This window comes from Homo sapiens, chromosome 12 (genome assembly GCF_000001405.40).
Source record: "Homo sapiens chromosome 12, GRCh38.p14 Primary Assembly".
Taxonomy (NCBI): Eukaryota; Metazoa; Chordata; class Mammalia; order Primates; family Hominidae; genus Homo; species Homo sapiens.
The window spans coordinates 48,898,085-48,921,610 of NC_000012.12; the positions used below are offsets into that span (position 1 = coordinate 48,898,085).

Genomic DNA, 23,526 nt, shown 5'->3' on the forward strand with positions numbered 1-23,526 from the left:
TCTGCCTCCCGGGTTCAAATGATTCTCTTGCCTCAGCTTCTTGAGTAGCTGAGATTACAGGCATGCGCCGCCATGCCCAGCTAATTTGGTATTTTTAGTAGAGACGGGTTTTCTCCATGTTGGTCAGGCTGGTGTCGAACTCCTGACCTCAGGAGTTCCCTTCCCTTCCCTTCCTTTCTTTCTCTCTTTCTCTCTTTCTCTCTCCCTCTCCCTCTCTCTCTCTTTTTTTGACTGAGTCTTTCTCTGTTGCCCAGGCTGGAGTGAGGTGGCACAGTCTCGGCTCACTGCAACCTGCACCTCCCAGGTTCAAGTGATTCTCCTGCCTCAGCTTCCCAAGTAGCTGGGATTACAGGCACCCGCTACCACACCTGGCTAATTTTTTGTATTTTTAGTAGAGATGGGGTTTCACCATGTTGGCCAGGATGGTCTCGATCTCCTGACCTCATGATCTGCCCGCCTCAGGTGATCCGCCCACCTTGGCCTCCCAAAGTGCTGGGATTACAGGTGTGAGCCACCGTGCCTGGCCTGGAATGACCTTTTGAAAACACATTTATGTTATCAGCTAGGTCACAACACCTTGCAAGGCTGGAGCATGGATCTTGTCTTTTTTTTTTTTTGAGCATGGATCTTTAGAAGACTGTCTATGTTCTGAATCAGTGTTCAATACATAGGGCTGTTTCTTCCACAGCCAGGATTCATAGGTCCAGGAATTAAAGGATGGAAATGGGAATAGCACAATGCACAATTACCACTAGAGACCCCTGGCCACTTTGGGATCCTCAGGGCTCTGTGTCGGCAGGCGAAGAAAGAAGTTACTGTGCTGGCTGGGGTGATTGATCCTAACTAGCAATGAAAAATTGGAGGCCGGGCATGGTGGCTCATGCCTGTAATCCCAGCACTTTGGAAGGCCAAGGCAGGCAGATCACCTGAGGTCAGGAGTTCACGACCAGCCTGGCCAACATGGTGAAACCCCATCTCTACTAAATACAAAAATTAGCCAGCCATGGTGGCGCATGCCTGTAATCCCAGCTACTCAAGAGGCTGAGGCAGGAGAATCATTTGAACCTGGAAGCCAAAGGTTGCGGTGAGCCGAGATCATGCCATTGCACCTGTAATCCCAGCTACTCAGGAGGCTGAGGCAGGAAAACGGCTTGAACTGGGGAGGCGGAGGTTGCAGTGAGCCAAGATCGCACCACTGCACTCCAGCCTGGGCGACAGAGCAAGACTCCATCTCAAAAAAAAAAACAAACAACAACAACAATAAATAAATAAATAAAAATACAAAAATTAGCTAGGCATGGTGGCGCACACCTCTATTTCCAGCTACTCAGGAGGCTGAAGCAGGAGAATCGCTTGCACCCAGGAGACCAAGGTTGCAGTGAGCTGAGATTGCACCATTGCACTTCAGCCTGGGTGATAGAGTGAGACTCCGTCAAAAAAAAAAAAAAAAGAAAAAGAAAAATTGGAATATTACTTCACAATGGAGGTAAGTATGAGCATATCAAGGAGATTCCTTGATATACTAAGGAAGATTCCTTAGGTCATCTCAGTATTACTGTGACCTGTGATTAAGGTCAATGGAAAACTAGAACAAAACAATCCAGGACTACTAATGGCCCAGACCCTTCAGAAATGAAGCTTTGAGTCAGTCCATCAGGTAAAGAAACAGGTCAACACCTGTTAAGGTGCTTGCTGAAGGCAAAGGGAATAGGATAGTAGTAGAAAACGGTAGCTATTAATACCAGCTATGACCACGTGACCAGTTATGGACCCTAGGACTATGATTGCCATGAGTATTTCCTCATTTTGTTATTTATATGTTTATGTGTGTGTATATCAAGCAAATATCTTCATTTTCTTTTCTCTTTTATTCCCTCATAATGTAACATAAGATGTATTAACTTTATGTCATAGTTTTAAGTATTATTAATTTTGCATCATAATATCTGAGTTATGGGATATGAAGAAGAGTAAACATCACTCAAGGATTTTACCTCCTCTTCTGAGGAAGGGATTAGTGTTTTATTTTTCTTTTTGAGACCGGGTCTTGCTCTGTCACCCAGGCTGGGGTGCAGCATCAATGCAAAGCTTCGAAATGCAGGCTCAAGTGTTCCTCCCACCCCAGCCTCCTGAGTAGCTGGGACTACAGGTGTGTGCCACCATGCCCAGCTAATTTTTTTTTTTTTTTGAGACAGAGTCTTGCTCTGTCGCCAAACTGCAGTGCAGTGGCACAATCTCTGGCTCACTGCAACCTCCGCCTCCCGGGTTCCAGCAATTCTCCTGCCTTAGCCTCCAGAGTAGCTGGGACTACAGGCGTGTGCCACCACGCCCAGCTCATTTTTATATTTTTATGAGGGGTTTCACCATGTTTGCCAGGATGGTCTCGATCTCTTCACCTCGTGATCCGCCCGCCTCGGCCTCCCAAAGTGCTGGGATTATAGGCGTTAGTCACTGCGCCCGGCCTGTAATGGTTAATTTTATGTGTCAACCTCACTGAGCCACGGAGGGCCCAGACATTTGGTCAAACATTAATCTGGAGGTCAGGCACAGTAGCTTGTGCCTGTAATCCCAGCACTTTGGTTGGCTGAGGTAGGAGGATCGCTTGAAGCCAGGAATTTAAGACCGGCCAGGGCATCATAGCAAGACCCAGTCGCTACAAAAAAATTAAAATAAAAAAAAATAGTTGGCTGGGCACGGTGGCTCACGCCTGTAATCCCAGCACTTTGGGAGGCCAAGGTGGGTGGATCACCTGAGGTTAGGAGTTCCAGGAGTTCGAGACCAGCTGGCCAACATGGTGAAACCCCGTCTCTACTAAAAATACAAAAATTAGCTAGGCGTGGTGGTGGATGCCTGTAATCTCAGCTACTCCGGAGGCTGAGTCAGGAGAATTGCTGAAACCTGCGAGGCGGAGGTTGCAGTGAGCCAAGATCATGCCATTGCACTCCAGCCCAGGCTGACAACAGCAACAGCAAGACTATGACTAAAAAAAAAAAAAAACACTGAGTATGGTGGTGCACACCTGTAGTCCCAGCTACTCAGAAGGCTGAGGTGGGAGGATCCCTAAAGTCCAGGAGTTCGAGGTTGCACTGAGCTACAATTGCATCACTGTACTCCAGCCTGGGTGACAAAATGAGTTTTCTGTCTAAAGAAAAATAAACAAAAAAAAATTATTCTGGTTTTGTCTGTGAGGGTGTTTCCAGATGAGATTAATATTTGAATTGGATTGAGAATTAATTAGTGGTAGATTGAGTAAAGCAGATTGCCCTTGTAACATGGGTGAGCCTCATCCAATCATTGAAGACATGAATAAACCAAAAAGGCTGAGTAAAAGCAGCTCCTCCTGACTAACTGCCTAAGCTGAGGCAGTCTTTTCTGGCCTTCTGACTCAGACTGAAACTCAGACTCTTCTTGGACCTTGAGCTGGCTGGCTTTTAGTCTAGAACTACACATCGGTTCTCCTAAATCTCCAGGTTGCTAATTGCAGATCTTGGGACTTCTGAGCCTCCAATAATAACACCGATTGCTTATAATAAATAAATACACACATCCTATTGGTTCTGTTTTTCTGGAGAGTTCTGAGTAATGTATTATATTTCATATTTAAAACAACTTTATTGGGGCACATGTTGCATATCACATAATTCGCTTTTTTTTTTTTTTTTTAAATACGGAGTTTCGCTCTTGTTGCCCAGGCTGGAGTGCAATGGCACGATCTCAGCTCACCGCAACCTCCGCCTCCTGGGTCCAAGCGATTCTCCTGCCTCAGCCTCCTGAGTAGCTGGGATTACAGGCATGTGCCACCACGCCCAGCTAATTTTGTCTTTTTAGTAGCGATGGGGTTTCTCCATGTTGGTCAGGCTGGTCCCGAACTCCCGACCTTAGGTGATCCAACATGGTGAAACCCCATCTCTACTAAAAATACAAAAAATTAGCCGGGTGTGGTAGCGGGTGCCTGTAATCCCAGCTACTTGGGAAGCTGAGGCAGGAGAATCACTTGAACCTGGGAGGTGCAGGTTGCAGTGAGCCGAGACTGTGCCACCTCACTCCAGCCTGGGCAACAGAGAAAGACTCAGTCAAAAAAGGAGAGAGAGAGGGAGAGGGAGAGAGAAAGAGAGAAAGAAAGGAAGGGAAGGGAAGGGAGAAGAAAAGAAAGTAATCTACTTTCTGTCTTTATAGCTTGGCCTTTTCCGGATATTTCATATAAATGGAACCATACAATATGTAATCACTTGTGTCTGGCTTATTTCACTGAGCATAGGGGTTTTTTTGGCCGAACATGGTGGCTCACGCCTGTAATCCCAGCACTTTGGGAGGCCGAGGTTGGTGGATCATTTGAGGTCAGGAGTTTGAGACCAACCTGGCCAAGATGATGAAACCCCGTCTCTACTAAAAATACAAAAATTAGGCAGGCATGGTGGTGACACCTGTAGTCCAGCTACTCGGGAGGCTGAGGCAGGAGAATTTCTTGAACCCGGGCGGTGGAGGTTGCAGTGAGCCGAGATCACGCACTGCACTCCAGCCTGGGTGACAGAGTGAGACTCCAGTCTTAAAAAAAAAAAAAGGGTTTGTTTGTTTTGTTTTTGTTGTTGTTTCTTTTTGATACAGGGCTGCTCTGTCACCCAACTGGAGTGCAGTGGCTTGACTATGGCTTGACCTCTGGGGCTCAGGTGATCTTCTCACCTCAGCCTCCTGGGGTAGCTGGGACAACAGGTACGCACCACCACGCCCAGCTAACTTCTTTTGTATTTTTTGTGGAGAAGGGGTTTCGCCACATTGCTCAAGCTAGTCTCGATCTCTTGGGCTAAAACGATCCTCCCGCCTCGGCCTCCCAAAGTGCTGGGATTACAGGTGTGAGGCACAGCGCCCAGCCTGCATATTCTTTTTGAGGTTCATCCACATTGTAGCTGGTATCCATAGTTTGTTCTGAATAATATTCCATTGTATGGACATAGCATATTTTGTCTACTCATTCACATGTTAATGGACATTTAGGTTGTCTCCAATTTTTCCAACTGGGCTATTATGAGTGAGACAGATAAGAAAATTCCTGTGCAAGTTTTTGTGTGTATACATGCTTTCATTTCTCTTAGGCAGATCCCTAAGAGTGAAATTATTGGGTCACATGGTAAATTTATGTTTAACATTTTAAAAAATTGCCAAACTGTTTTCCAAAGTGGCTACACCATTTTACATTTCTACCACCAATATATGAGGGTTCTCGTTTCTCCACATTCTCTCCAACACTTATCTTTTTAAAAAAGGTTTTTGTTGTTGTTGTTGTTTGCAGTTTTTACAGTTTTATTTAAACAGAAAACATACACATGAGCTGTCTACTCATTTTCTTTGCTGCGCAGCCTGGGATTGGGGTTGGTGACTCTGACGGCCAGCTGGGCAGCTCTTTTCCACGATGGCTTTGCGGTTCTTGGAGGAAACATTGTGAGCGATCTCAGCACAGTAAGATTTGTTGCACAACAGCAGCACTTCCAGCTCCTTGACGTGTGGACCAGGAATTTCCGGAAGCCACTGGGCAGCATGTGCTTTGTTTTCTTGTTGCTCCCATAATCAATGTTGGGCATCAAGATCTAACCCTTGAACCTTCCACGAACCCTGTTGTCAATACCTCTGGGTTTCCGCCGGTTACGCTTAATTTTGACATATCGGTCAGACTGGTGCCGGATAAACTTCTTGGTTCTCTTTTTGACGATCTTGGGCTTCCCAAGGGTTCTGAGGACGGTTTATAAAAGTGCACTGAGGGGAGGCTGAGACAGGAGAATTGCTTGAACCCGGGAGGCGGAGGTTGCAGTGAGCCGAGATCGTGCCCATCCTAGGCGACAGAGAGAGACTCTATGTCAAAAATAAATAAATAAATAAATAAATAAATAAATAAATAAATAAATAAAATGCACTGAGGAGACAGATTTTTGAGAGTTAAAAGGACCCTCTCAAAAACCGACCGCGGTCCTCCACTGGGTAGGGGGCGCTCCAAGACAGGGACTCTTCTAGCCTGTTGCCTCTCCATGTTAGCGATATCCTCGTTGCTAGGAGACTAGACGCGTCTTACAGTGGGAGAGCTCAGCCTCACTGATAGCCGGGGATCTCTCCTGTTCGAGGGCTGAGATCTCCGGTCCCACAACCGCCCACAACCAGGGGCACTTCTGGAAGTCCCCTTTCTAGGGACATTTTTCTTCTAAGCTCTGTAACGCGGGCCGAGGCAGACCGAGGCTTCTTTCCCGGATCCAATCCCCTGCCCCCATGCCTAAGAAAGAAAAAATGGCCAAGACGCCCCTGTCCGATGAGAAGCAGCTGCTTCTGTTTCAGCAGAAGTTGCTGGCAGAGGAGGAGATGGCCAAAAAGAAGGAGAGGCTCCTCAGCCAGTTCTTGAAGGTGATGGCCTTTTGCATTATGTCCTGCTCAACCCCATCCACCCCCTGCCCTGGCCCTGTCACTGAGGAAACCTCATTTTCATCCTGACCTCCCCTCCTCCGGAAATCCTGAGACCCAGATATACTTAGATTTCAGGCAACATTGTTTGGGAGGCGGGGGTGTTCTCTGCGAAGCACGGAGGGGGTGCGTGGTATACGGCTTGGCAATCTTTACTGAATCCCAGAACTGGGACCGTAGGTCCTGTCAGCTGTTCCAGCTGTCTGGAATGCTGATATTCTCCCTGGAGATAGGTCATTACAAACAACATCCTACTCTGATGCTCCCACCCTGAAGGAAATTCACCCTTGCCCTCCCTAAATGCCATCAGGCCGTTCCCATCGAAAAGGGGTAAGGTGTCAGCTGATAAATTAAGAGTGATCTTGTTTGTTGTACTGAAAGGCCCTGACTTCCTGGAGGTATATTTATTCCTTCACACAGGACAAGCTGGCCAAGGAGGAACACAACAGTGCTCTGAACCTTAATAAGATTAACACACAGTGGAGAACTGTCCTTCGGGAAGTCAAGACCAGAGAACTTCATAAGGACATTGAGATCCTCAGCCAAACATTTGAACGAGTGGTGGACTGTAAGGACAATGTCATCAAGGTAGGCACTCTTTCCAAGGAAACCTTGAGTATGGCTTCCTGACCTCTTAATAGAATGAGCCTAGTGAATCCATCTTAAAGCCCTCACAAGACACAGGCTGTGAGAAAGCCAGGCTATTGGTAATAATGGTTTTCACAGAAATAAAAAATAGAATATTGGGCTTTCATCCCTCTCTCCCTTAGAGGACCCACTCTTCTTGTCATCTATTGCCCAAAACCAGTACTATCCAATAGTAGAGTCATAAGGCACAGTAGACATCACCCAGTGACTTGAAATGAGTCCCACACCTTCATTTCAATGTCAGAAGGCTCAGTTCCAGAGGGGAACTGACTTGCCCAAGGTCACATAGCTAGTCAGTGAGAGAACCAGGACTCCAGCATGTGTTTATTGATTCCCACTGCAGTGCTCCATTCAACTAAATTGTTTGGCCTCTTGATTCAACTTCAGTGGCCCTGGATAAGGTTGAGAAGATCTCCATGGGTAAGAGCAGTTCTGGATTTCTAAGCAATTCAATCAGCCATCCTTATGCTCTTGGGAGGTTCTTGAGTTCTTGATTCCATCCTATCTTTTCTTCTAAGGGATTTTCTGTACCCCTTCTTTTGTCTTACTTTTAATATTCTGCCTCCATTTACTGCCTTCTCCTTAGTCTTTTCCATTATTTATTTATTTATTTATTTGACATGGAGTCTTGCTCTGTTGCCAGGCTGGAGTGCAGTGGCACAATCTCGGCTCAGTGCAACCTCTGCCTCCCAGGTTCAAGTGATTCTTCTGCCTCAGCCTCCCGAGTAGCTGTGACTACAGGCATGTGCCACCATGCCTGGCTAATTTTTGTATTTTTAGTTGAGATGGGGGTTTCACCATGTTGGCCAGGATGGTCTCGATCTCCTGACCTTGTGACCCACCCGCCTTGGCCTCCCAAAGTGCTGGGATTACAGGCGTGAGCCACTGCACCCAGCCAGAGTCTTTTCCATTTTCAACAAAACAAAGCCCACAGTAACAGCAAAATATACATTGCCAACATGGTATTCCCCCTCTAGAAAACACACATTTCTCTTTCATAGCCTAATCCCTGGGGAAAGAGCTCAGCAGACCCTGGGCAGCTTCCAGAGATAAATATTAAGAGTCCTCAAATTTGCAATAACCATTATTCATTAGAAGTCCACATACCCCACCAGTTACACCTTATGGATTTTTTTTTTTTTTTTTTGAGGCAGAGTTTCACTCCTGTTGCCCAGGCTGGAGTGCAATGGCGCAGTCTTGGCTCACTGCAACCTCCGCCTCCCGAGTTCAGCCTCCTGAGTAGCTGGGATTACAGGCATGTGCCACCACGCCCACTAATTTTGTATTTTTAGTAGAGATGGGGTTTCTTCATGTCGGTTAGGCTGGTCTTAAACTCCCGACCTCAGGTGATCCGCCCGCCTCAGTCTCCCAAAGTGCTGGGATTACAGGCATGAGCCACCACGCCCAGCCACTGAGGAGTTTCACTCTTGTCACCAGGCTGGAGTACAGTGGCGCGATCTCGGCTCACTGCAACCTCTGCCTCCTGGGTTCAAGCGATTCTCCTGCCTCAACCTCCTGAATAGCTGGGATTACAGGCGCCCACCACCAAGCCCAGGTAATTTTTGTATTTTTAGTGGAGACGGGATTTCACCATGTTGGCCAGGCTGGTCTGGAACTCCTGACCTTAGGTGATCCACCTGCCTCGGCCTCCCAAAGTGCTGGGATTACAGACGTTAGCCACCGCGCCCAGCCCATACCTTATGGATTTTTAAGAGGCTTTTTCAGACACTTATTGGAAGTTATCAAACACTTGATAAGAGGGCCAGGCACGGTGGCTCAAGCCTGTAATCCCAGCACTTTGGGAGGCTGAGGCAGGCGGATCACGAGGTCAGGAGATCGAGACCATCCTGGCTAACATGGTGAAACCCCATCTCTACTAAAAATACAAAAAATTAGCCAGGCGTGGTGGCGGGCACCTGTAGTCCCAGCTACTCGGGAGGCTGAGGCGGGAGAATGGCGTGAACCCGGGAGGTGGAGCTTGCAGTGAGCAGAGATTGTGCCACTGCACTCCAGCCTGGGTGACAGAGCGAGACTCCGTCTCAAAAAAAACAAAACAAAACAAAAAAACACTTGATAAGAACAGCAGTGTTCATTGCCTAGTGTTCCATTATTGGAATGCTAAGTTTGTGGGAGTTATGTATCTCGTACTGTTCAAGGTCATCGCCAAGATCTGATTTTTCACAAAAAATATTTGCAACCTCAGGCATGAATGGGTTAAGGGAAGCTGAGTAGTTGGCCAGGTTCACCCCGAGACAATTAACTTCTTCCTACACAGCAGCCTTGCAGCTTATGATAACAGTTCTTGCTTAGGTAAATCACACACTGTTAATATTAACCACCTTCAGGGTCATTCCTGAATGAGACTACACATATTAAATGTGGAAATGTTAGTGATCCTCACTATCTCTACTTCTTCACTTCCATTTTACCCTGTATCCCACAGCATCTGATTTCTACCCTTCTCTAGGAAACTGCTCAGGTAAAGGCCACTGGTTCAGAATTGTGGCTACTTTTCATCATTTAGTCTTTATCTAACCTAACCTCTCTATGGCACTGACATTCTTGGTCATGCCCTGGGTCTTGAAATTCTCCTTTGGCTTGCATGACACCATTCTGTCATTTTTCCTACCTCTGGGACATAAATCAGTCACTCCAGTGAGTTTATCTTCCTCTCTCCATCCTCTGAACTTCAGCATTCCCCGGATTTCTGAGTCTGGCCATCTCACCCTTTAACCAGTTTTCTAGGGCCAATCTTACACATTACCCTGGCTTTATTTTATTTTATTTTTTGAGACAGAGTCTCACTTTGTTGTCCAGGCTGAAGTGCAGTAGCACAATCATAGCTCACTACACTCAAGCTCCTGGGCTCAAGTGATCCTCCCACCTGAGCAGTTGGGACTACAGGCTCTCACTATGACTGGCTAAATTTTTAAATTATTTTAATTTTTAGTAGAGACAAGGTCTCGCTGTGTTGCCCAGGCTGATCCTCCCACCTCACCCTCTGGAGTAGCTGGGACCACAGGAGCATACCACCTCACCTAACAAATTTTTAAATTTTTTATAGAGATGCAGTCTCGTTATGTTGCCCATGCTGGTCTTGAACTCCTGGCCTCAAGCAGTCCTCCCACTTCGGCCTCCCAAAGTGCTAGTATTACAGGCATGAGCCACTGGGCTCGGTCCATCCTAGATTTTGCATCTATCCCTGACCTTTGTTACTAAGTGTTGTATAAGTCGTCTACTTTAAAGTAGTTTTCAAAGCTATACCCTGCTGTCCTTTTCCACTGTCCTCCTGTAGTTGAGACCTGGGCATCATCTCTAACCTACACTATTAGTAATAGTTTCCTGTTTTCCACCCTTCACATTGAACTGCCTCTAGATTCTCTGCAGAACTACCAGGATTATTATTATTATTATTATTATTATTATTATTATTATTTATTTATTTATTTTATTTTTAGACAGAGTCACCCAGGCAGGAGTGCAGTGGCACAATCTTGGCTCACTGCAACCTCTGCCCCCCGGGTTCAAGTGATTCTCCTGCCTCAGCCTCCTGAGTAGCTGGGATTACAGGTGCATGCCACCACATCCAGCTAATTTCTGCAATTTTAGTAGAGATGGGGTCTCACCACATTGGCCAGGCTGGTCTCTAACTCCTGGCCTCAGGTGATCCACCTGCCTCGGCCTCCTAAAGTGCTGGGATTATAGGCATGAGTACCAGGATTATCTTTCTAAAGCAGAAATCTAATCCTGTCACTCCACTGTTTAAATCTTAGTGGTTCCCCCATCTACAGGAAAAAATCCAGACTCCATAGTAAAAACATCAAAGCCCTCATGATCTGGTTCCCACCTGTACTTTTCTTTCTCTTTTTTTTTTTTTTTTTTTTTTTGAGATGGAGTTTTGCTCTTGTTGCCCAGGCTGGAGTGAAATGGCGCAATCTCGGCTCACCGCAACCTCCACCTCCTGGGTTCAAGCGATTCTTCTGCCTCAGCCTCCCAAGTAGCTGGGATTACAGGCATGTGCCACCACGCCCAGCTAATTTGGTATTTTTAGTAGAGACGGGGTTTCTCTATGTTGGTCAGGCTGATCTCGAACTCCCCACTTCAGGTGATCCACCTGCCTTGGCCTCCCAAAGTGCTGGGTATTACAGGTGTGAGCCACCACACCTGGCCTCTGCCTACCTGTACTTTTCATAGCCAGCCTTGTTTCTTACCTGTGCCTTTGCACATGCTATTCCCCGTATCTGGAATTCTCATCTCCATTTCTTCTCCAGTCGTCCTGGCAAACTTTCTTATTATTTTTATTTTTATTTATTTATTTTTTTGAGACGGAGTCTCATTCTGTCTCCCAGGCTGGAGTGCAGTGGAGCGATCTTGGCTCACTGTAACCTTCGCCTCTCGGGTTCAAGTGATTCTGCTGCCTCAGCCTCCCAAGTAGCTGGGATTACAGGCGTGCGCCACGACACTCAGCTAATTTTTGTATTTTTAGTAGATACGGGGTTTCGCCATGTTGGCCAGCTGGTCTCGAACTCCTGACCTCAAGTGATCTGCCCACTTCGGCCTCCCAAAATGTTGGGATTACAGGCGTGAGCCACCGCGCCCAGCCTCTTTTTTTTTTTTTTTTTCCCGAGACGGAGTCTCACTCTGTTGCCCAGGGTGGAGTGCGGTGGTGCAATCTCTGCTCACTGCAGTCTCCACCTCCCAGGTTTAAGTAATCCTCCTGCCTCAGCCTCCTGCATAGCTGGGACTACAGGTGTGCGCCACCATGCTGACTAATTTTTGTATTTTTAGTAGAGACGGGGCTTCATCATGTTGGCCAGGTTGGTCTGGAACTCCTGACCTCAGGTGATCCGCCTGCCTCAGCCTCCCAAAGTGCTGGGATTACAGGAGTGAGCCACCATGCCCGGCCATCCTGGCAAACTTTCATTCCTCCTTCAAGAGTTGTTACAAATGACAGCTCTTATGAAGCCTTTCCCAGTGCTTAATCAGATGTAGGCACTCAGTCCTTTATATCTCATTGTCACTCAATAGATCATCAACCTTAGAGCAATTTCCATGTTATGTTGTGATTTTCTATTTATGTAACTCTTCCTACTAGACTGTAAGCTCCTTTGGGAGCAGTGGGCATATCTTTTTATCTCTGAATCCTCAACATCCAGCACAGTGCTGGTACATAGCAGGGGTTAGGTAAACATTTGTTGAGTGAGTGAATAGTCTTCCATTATCAGAACCTATTTCATAAGATCCTTTTATCATTGTAAACATATAAGGTAAAAGCTATCTCTGTGTAGAGGTCATGGTAGTTTACAGTGAGTGGACTCAAGGTGCCTGGATCATGTGGGCAATTCTGTAAATGCTTTTCTGTTTAATCTTGTTTTACTTTTTTGAAGGTAATACACTCACATTATTCAAAATTCAAAAGAAAAAAAGGTTATATAGAGAAAAGTTCCTCCCCACCAGTGCCTTCCAGGTACCCAGTGTTCCTTCCAATAATTCTAGTTTCATAAGGAAACTTTTTTCTTTTTTTACATAAATGATCTTATTATATACTATTCTGCACCTTGCTTTTTTCACTTAATAATATATCTTGGAGGCCGGGCACAGTGGCTCATGCCTGAAATCCCAGCACTTTGGGAGGCCAATGCAGGCGGATCGCTTGAGCCTAGGAGTTCGAGATCGGCCTGGGCAACATGGTAAAACCCTGTCTCTACTAAGAATATGTAAATTAGCCGGGCATGGTGGTATGTGCCTATAGTCCCAGCTACTGGGGAGGCTGAGGTAGGAGGATCACCTGAGCCTGGGAAGCAGAGGTTGCAGTGAGCCAAGATTGTGCTCATATATGTAAGAGATTGTTCCATATTTTCCCATAAAGAGCTTCTTATTTTACAACCGCATAGTATTCTGTATTGCAGTTTAACACATTACTTTCTCCTCTGTATTTTTATTTTGGTAACTGGATTTAGATGCTTAGCGATGTTGTATCAAGAGGCACATATTGTCTAGCTCTCTTTTTGTGATGTTAGCAGCTGTTGATCCATTAAATCATTGGGAGATGCAAAAATGCTTATTTTAAAAATGTTTAAATTTTATTTTAGAAATAGAGATGGGGCCAGGCACAGTGGTTCATGCTTGTAATCCCAACACTTTGGGAGGCTGAGGCGGCAGATCCTTTGAGCCCAGGAGTTTGAGACCAGCCTGGGCAACATGGCAAAAACCTGTCTACAAAAAAACTTAAAAATTAGCTGGGCATGGTGATGTGTGCCTGTAGTCCCAGCTACTCAGGGGGCTGAGGTGGGGGATCAATTGAGCCTGGGAGGTTGAGGCTGCAGTGAGCTGTGATCATGCCACCTGACCCCAGCCTGGGTGACAGGACAAGACCCTGACTCAAAAGAAAAAGAAATAGAAATAGAGATGGGGTCTGGATGTAGTGATCCGGTAAGAAAAAAAAAAGAGAAAAAGAAATAGAGATGGTGGCCTCACTCTGTTGCCCAGGTTAGTCTCAAACTCTTGGCCTCAAACCCTTGCTTCAGATGATCTTCCTGCCTCAGCCTCCCAAAGATCTGGGATTACAGGTGTGAGCCACTGTGCCTGGCCTGATTTCCTAATAGTATTATTCATTTTTTGTTCATTAGCTTGAGTATTTCTGAAAAGAGATACTTCCCCTCATTTTCTATTCAATTACTCAGAGCTATATAGGAAAGGCAAGATAAATGCTTGATTCTTTCTCTTGCCTTTATTTACCAGTTTTAAAAAAAATTGGTTGTCTGGTATCCTCCAGTGATAACTGATTTAAAAAAAAAAACTTCTGGCTGGGCACGGTGGCTCACACCTGTAATCCCAGCACTTTAGGAGGCCGAGGATGGCGGATCACGAGGTCAGGAGTTTGAGACCAGCCTGACCAACATGGTGAAATCTCATCTCTACTAAAAAATATAAAAAATTAGCCAGGTGTGGTGGTGTGTGCCTGTAATCCCAGCTACTGTGGGAGGCTGAGGCAGGAGAATCACTTGAACCTGTGGGGAGGAGGTTGCAATGAGCCAAGATCGCACCACTGCACTCCAGCCTGGGCGACAGAGTGAGACTCCATCTCTCTACTAAAAAATAAAAAAATTAGCTGGCCATAGTGGCGGGCTCCTGTAGTCCCAGCTACTCAGGAGGCTGAGGCAGGAGAATGGCGTGAACCCGGGAGAGGGAGCTTGCAGTGAGCCAAGATCGCGCCACTGCGCTCCAGCACTCCAGCCTGGGCAACAGAGCGAGACGCCGTCTCAAAAAAAAAAAAAAAAAAAAAAATTCATGTGCACTTGGCTTCTCACAGCATGACTGTTAGGCTCCTGGAGGGACCATCCTAAGAACAAGCATTCTAAGGGGCGGGAAGCAGAAACTGCCAGGCTAGCCAAGGGTTATGCCTGGGACTGGCATAGTGTCACTTCCACCATATTCTGTTGACCCATGTAGTCATAGGGTCTGCCCAAATTCAAGGAGCTGGAAGAAGAGACACCACCTTTTGATGGGGAGTGGCAAGGTCACATAGCAGAGAATTGTAGGATGGGAGATATTGCTGTGATTTTCTTTGGAAAATCTGCCTCAGTGAGGCACTTCATGTTGGTTCCTGGGTCCTTCTGACATGACCCTTTTGGTCTTTTATAGTTTCTTTGCTATTTTTTATGATAAGATACCCCAGGTTCTGCCAGGGGCGGTGGCTCACGCCCATAATCCCAGAACTTTGGGAGGCCAAGCCAGGTGGATCACAAGGTCAAGAGATCGAGACCATCCTGGCCAACATGGTGAAACCCTGTCTCTACTAAAAATGTAAAAAATTAGCTGGTCGTGGTGGCATGCATCTGTAGTCCCAGCTACTTGGGAAGCTGAGGCAGGAATCGTTTGAACCTGGGAGGCCAAGGTTGCAGTGAGCCAAGATCGCGCCACTGCACTCCAGCCTGGTGACAGAGCAAGACTCCGTCTCAAAAAAAAAAAAAAAAAAAAAGATACCCCAGGTTCAACTTATTTTCTGCATCAGGCCTCAAAGCACCCATTTCTCCAAGAATCCCTGATTCTTTTCAGTGGTAGCTACATCACTGCAAATGTTAGTCATCCACAGGACACTGGCTGGCTTCATGGGGCTCTTTGCTATCACTTCTTTTTTTCTTTTTTGAGACGGAGTCTCGCTCTGTCACCCATGCTGGAGTGCAGTGGCGTGATCTCAGCTCAATGCAAACTTGGCCTCCCGGGTTCAAGCGATTTTCCCGCCTCAGCCTCCTGAGTAGCGGGGATTATAGGTACGCATCACCACACCAGCTAACTTTTGTATTTTTATTATTTATTTATTTATTTATTTATTTTGAGACCGAGTCTCGCACTGTCACCCGGGCTGGAGTGCAGTGGTGCAATCTCGGCTCACTGCAACCTCTGCCTCCCAGGTTCAAGCAATTCTTCTTGCCTCAGCCTCCCAAGTAGCTGGGATTACAGGCACCTGCCACCATGGCCGGAATTTTTTTTTCTTATTTTTAGTAGAGATGGGGTTTCACTATGTTGGCCAGGCTGGTCTCGAACTCCTGACCTCATGATCCACCCGCCTTGGCCTCCCAAAGTGCTGGGATTACAGGCTTGTGCCACCGCACCCGGCATTTTTGTATTTTTAGTAGAGACAGGGCTTCACCATGTTGGTCAGGCTGGTCTTGAACTCCTGACCTCATGATCTGCCCACCTTGGCCTCCCAAAGTGCTGGGATTACAGGTGTGAGCCACCGTGCCCAGTCTTTTTTTTTTTTTTTTTTTTTTGAGACAGGGTCTTGTTCTGTCACCCAGGCTGGAGTGTAGTGGCATGATCACAGCTCACTGCAACTTTGAACTCCTGGGCTTAAGCAATCCTCCTGCCCAGGCCTTGTGAGTAGCTGGGATTACGGCCTGGGTAATTTTTATGGGTTTTTTTGTTTGTTTGTTTGTTTTTGTAGAGATGGGGGGGTCTCATTATGTTGCCCAGGCTAGTCTTGAGCTCCCAGGCTCATGTAATCCTCCCACCTTGGCTACCCAAAGTGTTGGGATTACAAATGCGAGCCACCTTGCTCAGCCCTTGCCATCACTCTTGCTTTACACAAGAGTGAGGGGGACAGCCAGCATTCTTAAAGTCAAAGAATTGGCATTAGGAACAAAGAAAAAACTGCCAGCTGAATATATTTTTATTTTCTCACAGAGATGCTATTCAGCTGGAATGGTAACTCTCTCTTTCTGGCCTAGTCTTTAGCTAAAGACCTGTCCGAAGCCGAGGAGCAGTACGCCCATGCCCTGCGCAGCCACTTGCACAATGTTGACCAGCTCTTGGCCCTGCAGAGGCACCGGCTCAGTCTCCTGGAGGAAAGTTACAACATGGAGCTGGAAGCCCTAACCAAGGAGTTTGAGACAGAAAGGTATGGGGGCCTAAGAGAAGATGGGGAATTGAATCCAGGGGAGTGCCCAGAGTCCGTGTCAAGGAGTTGCCTGTAAGCAAGTGGCTAGTATCTTGGAGCATCCCACATTGATTATCACGGGACCCCCAGCAGAGAATATCTTGGTTCCTTTTAAACAAACTCGGGCTTAAGTTTGCAGCTCTAGCTTCCCTTTACTCACGTCAGGTCCCTGTCTGTGTACCTTCACCACCCACTTTCTTCTTTTTTTTTCTTTCACTATTTTTTTCTTTATTGTTTTATTTTTTTATTTTGTTTTGTTTTTTCAAGACGGAGTGTCGCTCTGTTGTCCAGGCTGACATGCAGTGGCACGATCTCAGCTCACTGCAACCTCTGCCTCCCGGGTTCAAGCAATTTTCCTGCCTCAGTGTCCCCAGTAGCTGGGATTACAGGTGCGTGCCACCACACCTGGCTATGTTATTGTTTTACTTTTTTAAATAACTTTTTTTTCTTCTTTTTAAATTTAACTCCTCAAATTCCTTTTACCAACTACCCACTTTCTTTCTTTTTTTTTTTTTTTTATTGATCATTCTTGGGTGTTTCTCACAGAGGGGGATTTGGCAGGGTCACAGGACAATAGTGGAGGGAAGGTCAGCAGATAAACAAGTGAACAAAGGTCTCTGGTTTTCCTAGGCAGAGGACCCTGCGGCCTTCCACAGCGTTTGTGTCCCTGGGTACTTGAGATTAGGGAGTGGTGATGACTCTTAATGAGCATGCTGCCTTCAAGCATCTGTTTAACAAAGCACATCTTGCACCGCCCTTAATCCACTTAACTCTGAGTGGACACAGCACATGTTTCAGAGAGCACAGGGTTGGGGGTAAGGTCACAGATCAACAGGATCCCAAGGCAGAAGAATTTTTCTTAGTACAGAACAAAATGAAAAGTCTCCCATGTCTACTTCTTTCTACACAGACACGGCAACCATCCGATTTCTCAATCTTTTCCCCACCTTTCCCCCCTTTCTATTCCGCAAAGCCGCCATTGTCATCCTGGCCCGTTCTCAATGAGCTGTTGGGCACACCTCCCAGACGGGGTGGTGGCCGGGCAGAGGGGCTCCTCACTTCCCAGTAGGGGCGGCCGGGCAGAGGGGCTCCTCACTTCCCAGTAGGGGCGGCCGGGCAGAGGCACCCCTCACCTCCCGGATGGGGCGGCTGGCCGGGCGGGGGGCTGACCCCCCCACCTCCCTCCCGGACGGGGTGGCTGCCGGGCGGAGAGGCTCCTCACTTCTCAGACGGGGCAGCTGCCGGGCGGAGGGTCTCCTCACTTCTCAGACGGGGCGGCTGGGCAGAGACGCTCCTCACCTCCCAGACGGGGTGGCGGCCGGGCAGAGGCGCTCCTCACATCCCAGACAGGGCGGCGGGGCAGAGGCACTCCCCACATCCCAGACGATGGGCGGCCGGGCAGAGACGCTCCTCACTTCCTAGATGTGATGGCGGCCGGGAAGAGGCGCTCCTCACTTCCCAGATGGGATGGCGGCCAGGCAGAGACGCTCCTCACTTTCCAGACTGGGCAGCCAGGCAGAGGGGCTCCTCACATCCCAGACGATGGGCGGCCAGGCAGAGACGCTCCTCACTTCCCAGACGGGGTGGCGGCCGGGCAGAGGCTGCAATCTCGGCACTTCGGGAGGCCAAGGCAGGCGGCTGGGAGGTGGAGGTTGTAGCGAGCCGAGATCACGCCACTGCACTCCAGCCTGGGCGCCATTGAGCACTGAGTGAACCAGACTCCGTCTGCAATCCCGGCACCTCGGGAGGCCGAGGCTGGCGGATCACTCGCGGTTAGGAGCTGGAGACCAGCCCGGCCAACACAGCGAAACCCCGTCTCCACCAAAAAAATACGAAAACCAGTCAGGCGTGGAGGCGCGCGCCTGCAATCGCAGGCACTCGGCAGGCTGAGGCAGGAGAATCAGGCAGGGAGGTTGCAGTGAGCCGAGATGGCAGCAGTATAGTCCAGCTTCGGCTCGGCATGAGAGGGAGACCGTGGAAAGAGAGGGAGAGGGAGACCATGGGGAGAGGGAGACCATGGGGAGAGGGAGAGGGAGAGGGAGAGGGACCAACTACCCACTTTCAACTATCAAAATCCTACCCATTTGGCAGGGAACAGGGATGGGAGAGAGACTTCTCACTGTAACCTTTTGTACTTTTTTTGTATCACATGAATGTATTACCCATTCAGAAATCAAAATAAAATAACCTTACTCATTCTTTCTAGCCCTAAAAAGAGTAAAGCCTTCCCTCTCTCTTTTCTCCATCAGTACCTAAGAGTTTGTACCATTCACATAGATTACATACTGCTTTGAATTGTCATTATTGGTCAATATCCTGTATCCCTCAGAGCAGGGACAGTGTCTTGTCTCCTACAGGAAGACAATTATTGACCAACATGAGAAAGAGATTCACTATCTGCAAGATATCTTCATGGCCATGGAGCAGAACTATATAGATTCTGAGTATGAAAGCAAGCTGGAGTTCCAGAGCATGTGGAATGATCTCAAAAACATGGTACGGAGGGAGAGTAGATAGGCAAGAAGTGGGAGGAGGTGATAGAAAAATGCTCAAGGAGGCTGGGCACAGTGGCTCACACCTGTAATCCCAGCACCTTGGTAGGCCAAGGCAGGAGGATCACTTGAGACTGGGAGTTCAAGACTAGCCTGGGCAACATAGGGAGTCCCCCCCATCTCTACCGGCCCCCCCAAAAAAGAAAGAAAATAGCCAGGCGTGGTAGTGTGTGCCTATGGTCCAAGCTACTTAAGAGGCTGAGGTAGGATGATCGCTTGAGCCCAGAAGATGGAGGCTGTAGTGAACTGTGATAGCAACACTGCCCTCCAGCCTGGGTGACAGAGCGAGACCCTGTCTCAAAAAAATTAAAAAAAGAAAAAAAGAAAAATGCTCAAGGCTACTAGAAGTAGAAGAGACCCCTTTAGCCAACACAGTCAATAAAACATCTATTGCCCCCTGTAGGTATCCCTAATGCTTTTTGTAATTTTGTGAAAATTGGTTGGGAGGGAGGACCATTCTAAATTGTCAAGGGAATGCATTTTAGAGCTAAAAAGCACCAAGGAGATCATCTGGCTTCACCCCTGTGATTTTCAGATGAAGAAAGTAAGGCACAAGTAAGTAAAATGACCTGCCAAAGTCATGCTGCTGGTTTGTGGTAGAATCAGGAGAATCTAGGTCTCCTGCCCCTTGATCCAAAGTGCTTTCCACTGTCCTCGAGGTTGCAATCTTAGCCAGCCCACAGACCTAGGTTTGGGTATGGAGTTCTTTGTTTTTATTTACCCCACAGTGTTTTATACAATTTTTTGAATAAGCATCCTACACTTAAAAATTGGAGATTTCACAAAAACATCCAAATTTTCAGCTTCCCTTGAAAAATTTAAAGATCTGGCAACACTGGGCCACATTTCCAAATGGCAAGGCTCACGTGGAGCTCAGTGACTGCCCCTCCTCCTCCCAAATGCAGCATTTCCTCTCCAGTTCACCACAGGCCCCACCCGGCCCACAAAACATATTTATATCATCTGCCTGGTCTTGTGTAGGCATTTTCATGGGAGACCTCTGTACTAAACTATGCTACAAACAGTTCAAGAGGGTGGGATTGCTGGTAGAAGTGAAAGGGCACTAATAAGGTAATTCCAAACATTTGCTATTTTGGGGTCACTTGCTAGAATTTAGAAGAGAAGCACTTTCTAAGACTGCACCTGGAGAACAGAGTAGAAGATCTGTGGAGAAAGTTCCAGGATGTACTCAAGAATTACACTGATGCCACAGAGGATCGAAAGGCTGCCTTTGAGACCCTGCAGGTGAAGGATGAGAAGAGCTCCAAAGAGATTGAAGTACAGATGAAAAAAATACAGAAACTACAGGTTAGTGTAGCCACCTGGAAATACTCACTGCTTTAACTGCTCTATTATCCCCTCTTTTGCTTCCCCTTGTTTCCCCTGGGCCTCATCACTGATCATTGGTTGGGAAAAGATGATATGCTCTGATTTCAGTCCCCAGGCAGCCCTTTTACCTGTCTCACTGAAGACCCTCAGTTGGTCAAGTAGATTTCCCCTAATCTACTCTGTTCCTCTAGGATGCCATAACTATTTCAAAAGGCAAGATCATGATACACAGCCGTGAGAGTGAAGATGAGAACCGGTATATCCGTAATGACAAGGAATTGGTCCTTGTACAACTGCGAAAACTTAAGGCCCAAAGAACTCAGGCCCGGGCAGCATCCCAGAAGAACTTAGTCAGACTCACCCTGGAAAGTAATGCCACCCTCAAGGCCCTGAGAAAGATTGTTGATAAGGTAACACAGGGGAGAGGACTATCAGAATAAAGTCAAGGAACCTGCCTCCCTGCAAAGTGAAAGGGATTTGGAAAGGATAGCGGGGGCTTCTTCCTGCTTCCTGGCTGAGTGGACACTTGGAATACCTTTTTTATTCCATGTTTCCTCCCCTCTTACATTAAATTAAATTAATTTATTTATTTATGTATTTCTACAGATGGGGTCTCACTGTGTTGCCCAGGATGGTTATGAACTCCTGGCCTCAAGCAGTCCTCTTGCCTTGGCCTCCCAAAGTGCTGGGATTAGAGGCGTGAGCCACCCTGGTGAGCCCCTTCCTACTTTTTTTTTTTTTTCTTTTTGGTGAGACAGGGTCTCACTCTGTCTCCCAGGCTGGAGTGCAGTGGCACCATCTTGGCTCACTGCAACCTCTGCCTCCTGGGCTCAAGCATTCCTCCCGCCACAGCCTCCCCAATGCACAGCTAACTTTTGTATTTTTTGTAGAGATGGGGTTTCGCCATGTTGCCCAGGCTGGGTCAAACTCCTGGCCTCAGACGATCTTCCCACCCTGGCTTTCTAAAATGCTGGGATTACAGGCATGAGCCACTGCGTTGAGCTCCCCCTTACATTTTAATTAATTATTTTTTTTTTTGAGACGAAGTTTTATTCACTCTGTTGCCCCGGCTGGAGTGCAGTGGCATGATCTTGGCTCGCTGCAACCTTTACCTCCCCAGTTCAAGCAATTCTCCTGCCTCAGCCTCCTGAGTAGCTGGAATTACAGGTGCGCACCACCACACCCGGCTAATTTTTGTATTTTTAGTGGAGACAGGGTTTCACCATGTTGGCCAGGACGTTCTCGAACTCCTGACCTCAGCGATCCACCCACTTTGGCTTCTCAAGTGCTGGGATTACAGGCGTGAGCCACCGCGTCTGGTCTACATTTTAAATTGAAATGAATTGGCCAGGCATGGTGGCTCATGCCTGTAATCCCAGCACTTTGGGAGGCCAAGGTGGGAGGATTGCTTGAGCCCAAGAGTTTGAGACCACCCTGAGCAACACAGGGAGAGCCCATCTCTACCAAAAAAAAGCTGGGCATAGTGGCACATGCCTGTGAGCCCAGATACTTGGGAAGCTGAGATGGGAGGACCACTTGAGCCTGGGACATCGCGGCTGCAGTGAGCCAGGATTGCACCACTGCACCCCAGCCTGGGTGACAGAGTAAGACCCTGTCTAAAAAAAAAAAAAAAAAAAAAAAAAAGAATTAATAATGAATGAGTTTTGGCTGGGCGCAGTGGCTCACACCTGTAATCCCAACACTTTGGGAGGCCGAGGCAGGTGGATTACTTGAGGTTGGGAGTTCGAGACCAGCCTGACCAACATGGAGAAACTCCATCTCTACTAAAAATACAAAATTAGCCAGGCATGGTGGCACATGCCTGTAATCCCAGCTACTCGGGAAGCTGAGGCAGGAGAATCGCTTGAACCCTGGAGGCAGAGGTTGCGGTGAGTCGAGATCGCGCCACTGCACTCCAGCCTGGGCAACAAGAGCGAAACTCCATCTTAAAAAAAAAAAAAAAAAAAAAAAAAAGAATGAGAGAATGAGTTTGTTTTTTTTTTAAAGGAATGAATTATTAATAATGAATGATTTTTTTTTTTTTTTGAGACAGGGTCTCGCTCAGTTGCCCAGGCTGGAGTGTGGTGGCACCATCTCGTCTCACTCCAGCCTCTGCCTCCTGGGCTCAAGTGATCCTTCCATCTCAGCCTCCCCAGTAGCTGAGACTGTAGGCATGTGCTACCATGCCTGGCTTTTAAATAATTTTTTGTAGAGATGGGGTCTTTCTATGTTTCCCAGGCTATGAATCAATTTTACAATAAGAAAATACTTGGAATAGTGTGTGTTACATGGTAACCTCCATTTGCTATATGTATTTATTGCTATTGTTTCCCACTTGGATGAGTAGCTTCCCTGGGTTCAAACAGGGGAACCAACTCCACTAGCTTCCCTCTTCACTCCCTTTCCTAATATAAACTCTCTTCCCGCTTCAAATAGGGTGAAAAGATCCTTAAACTTGCTGAAATATGTAGGAAATTTGAAACCGAAGAAGAAAAAGTGCTGCCTTTTTATTCATCAGTATTGACTCCTAAGGAGCAGGAGGGGATTCAGAAGAATAATCTAGAAGAGCTTACTGAGGAGCTCACCAAGGTAAAGCCCGGGGGATGGTGGGGCATTGGGCAGCATTTGCTAATGGGTCTCGCTGCACACCTTCTCCCTGTAACTCCACTCCCAGGTGATGGTGGACTACATAGGAATGGAGAATTTCTGGAAAAGGTACAACAAAGTGAAACTGGAGCAACTGAGCCTCCAACATAGACGAGCCCAGCTGCTAGATATCAATGGGAAGCTGCGGGAGATGCTGAAGCAGTACTTGGATGGCATCTCAGTGAGTGACGAAGTGCTGAGCCAGCTCAACCCACTCTTTATAGTCAACTATCAAAGCAACTTACTCCAGCCCTTGTCCATACGTATAGCCCATCCAGGTGATAAACAACATCCAACCACTTAAAATATAATTGAAGCAGCCCAGATGATCTTCCACAACCTGTGATCTAAGGAAAAAAATCTTTCAACTCCTAGAGATTTTTTTTTTTTTTTGAGAAATGTAGGGATGTTGCTATTAAAAATTTCCATGGAGTTTATGAGCTCTTTATATCTTTTCCATATTGGACAGAG

The 23,526-nt window shown here is 47.2% G+C and overlaps 1 protein-coding gene and 1 pseudogene across 2 annotated transcripts, besides 2 other annotated features; one reads left to right on the forward strand and one right to left on the reverse strand.

Moving 5' to 3' along the window:
- Positions 3,328–3,528: a silencer, noted in NCBI's record as "peak1724 fragment used in MPRA reporter construct". NCBI's record gives its function as "represses an SCP1 promoter by STARR-seq MPRAs in K562 erythroleukemia cells {active_cell/tissue: K562}" and the evidence as "EXISTENCE:reporter gene assay evidence [ECO:0000049][PMID:32103011]".
- Positions 5,284–5,734, reverse strand: RPL32P27 (ribosomal protein L32 pseudogene 27; annotated as a pseudogene).
- Positions 6,006–6,055: a silencer, noted in NCBI's record as "silent region_4414". NCBI's record gives its function as "represses an Ori minimal core promoter by ATAC-STARR-seq in GM12878 lymphoblastoid cells {active_cell/tissue: GM12878}" and the evidence as "EXISTENCE:reporter gene assay evidence [ECO:0000049][PMID:35858748]".
- DRC2 (dynein regulatory complex subunit 2) lies at positions 6,049–23,492 on the forward strand. 2 transcript variants are annotated; one of them, NM_033124.5, is made up of 8 exons: positions 6,049–6,384; positions 6,862–7,029; positions 16,320–16,489; positions 18,886–19,024; positions 20,191–20,388; positions 20,601–20,819; positions 22,846–22,998; positions 23,084–23,492. In NM_033124.5, exons 1-8 carry the CDS (start codon positions 6,253–6,255, stop codon positions 23,357–23,359), a joined length of 1,455 nt encoding a protein of 484 aa, NP_149115.2. In that variant the 5' UTR covers positions 6,049–6,252; the 3' UTR covers positions 23,360–23,492. The 2 variants fall into 2 exon arrangements, with proteins under 2 accessions (NP_149115.2, NP_001273886.1); NM_001286957.2 differs by having other exon boundaries at positions 6,049–6,362; positions 6,880–7,029.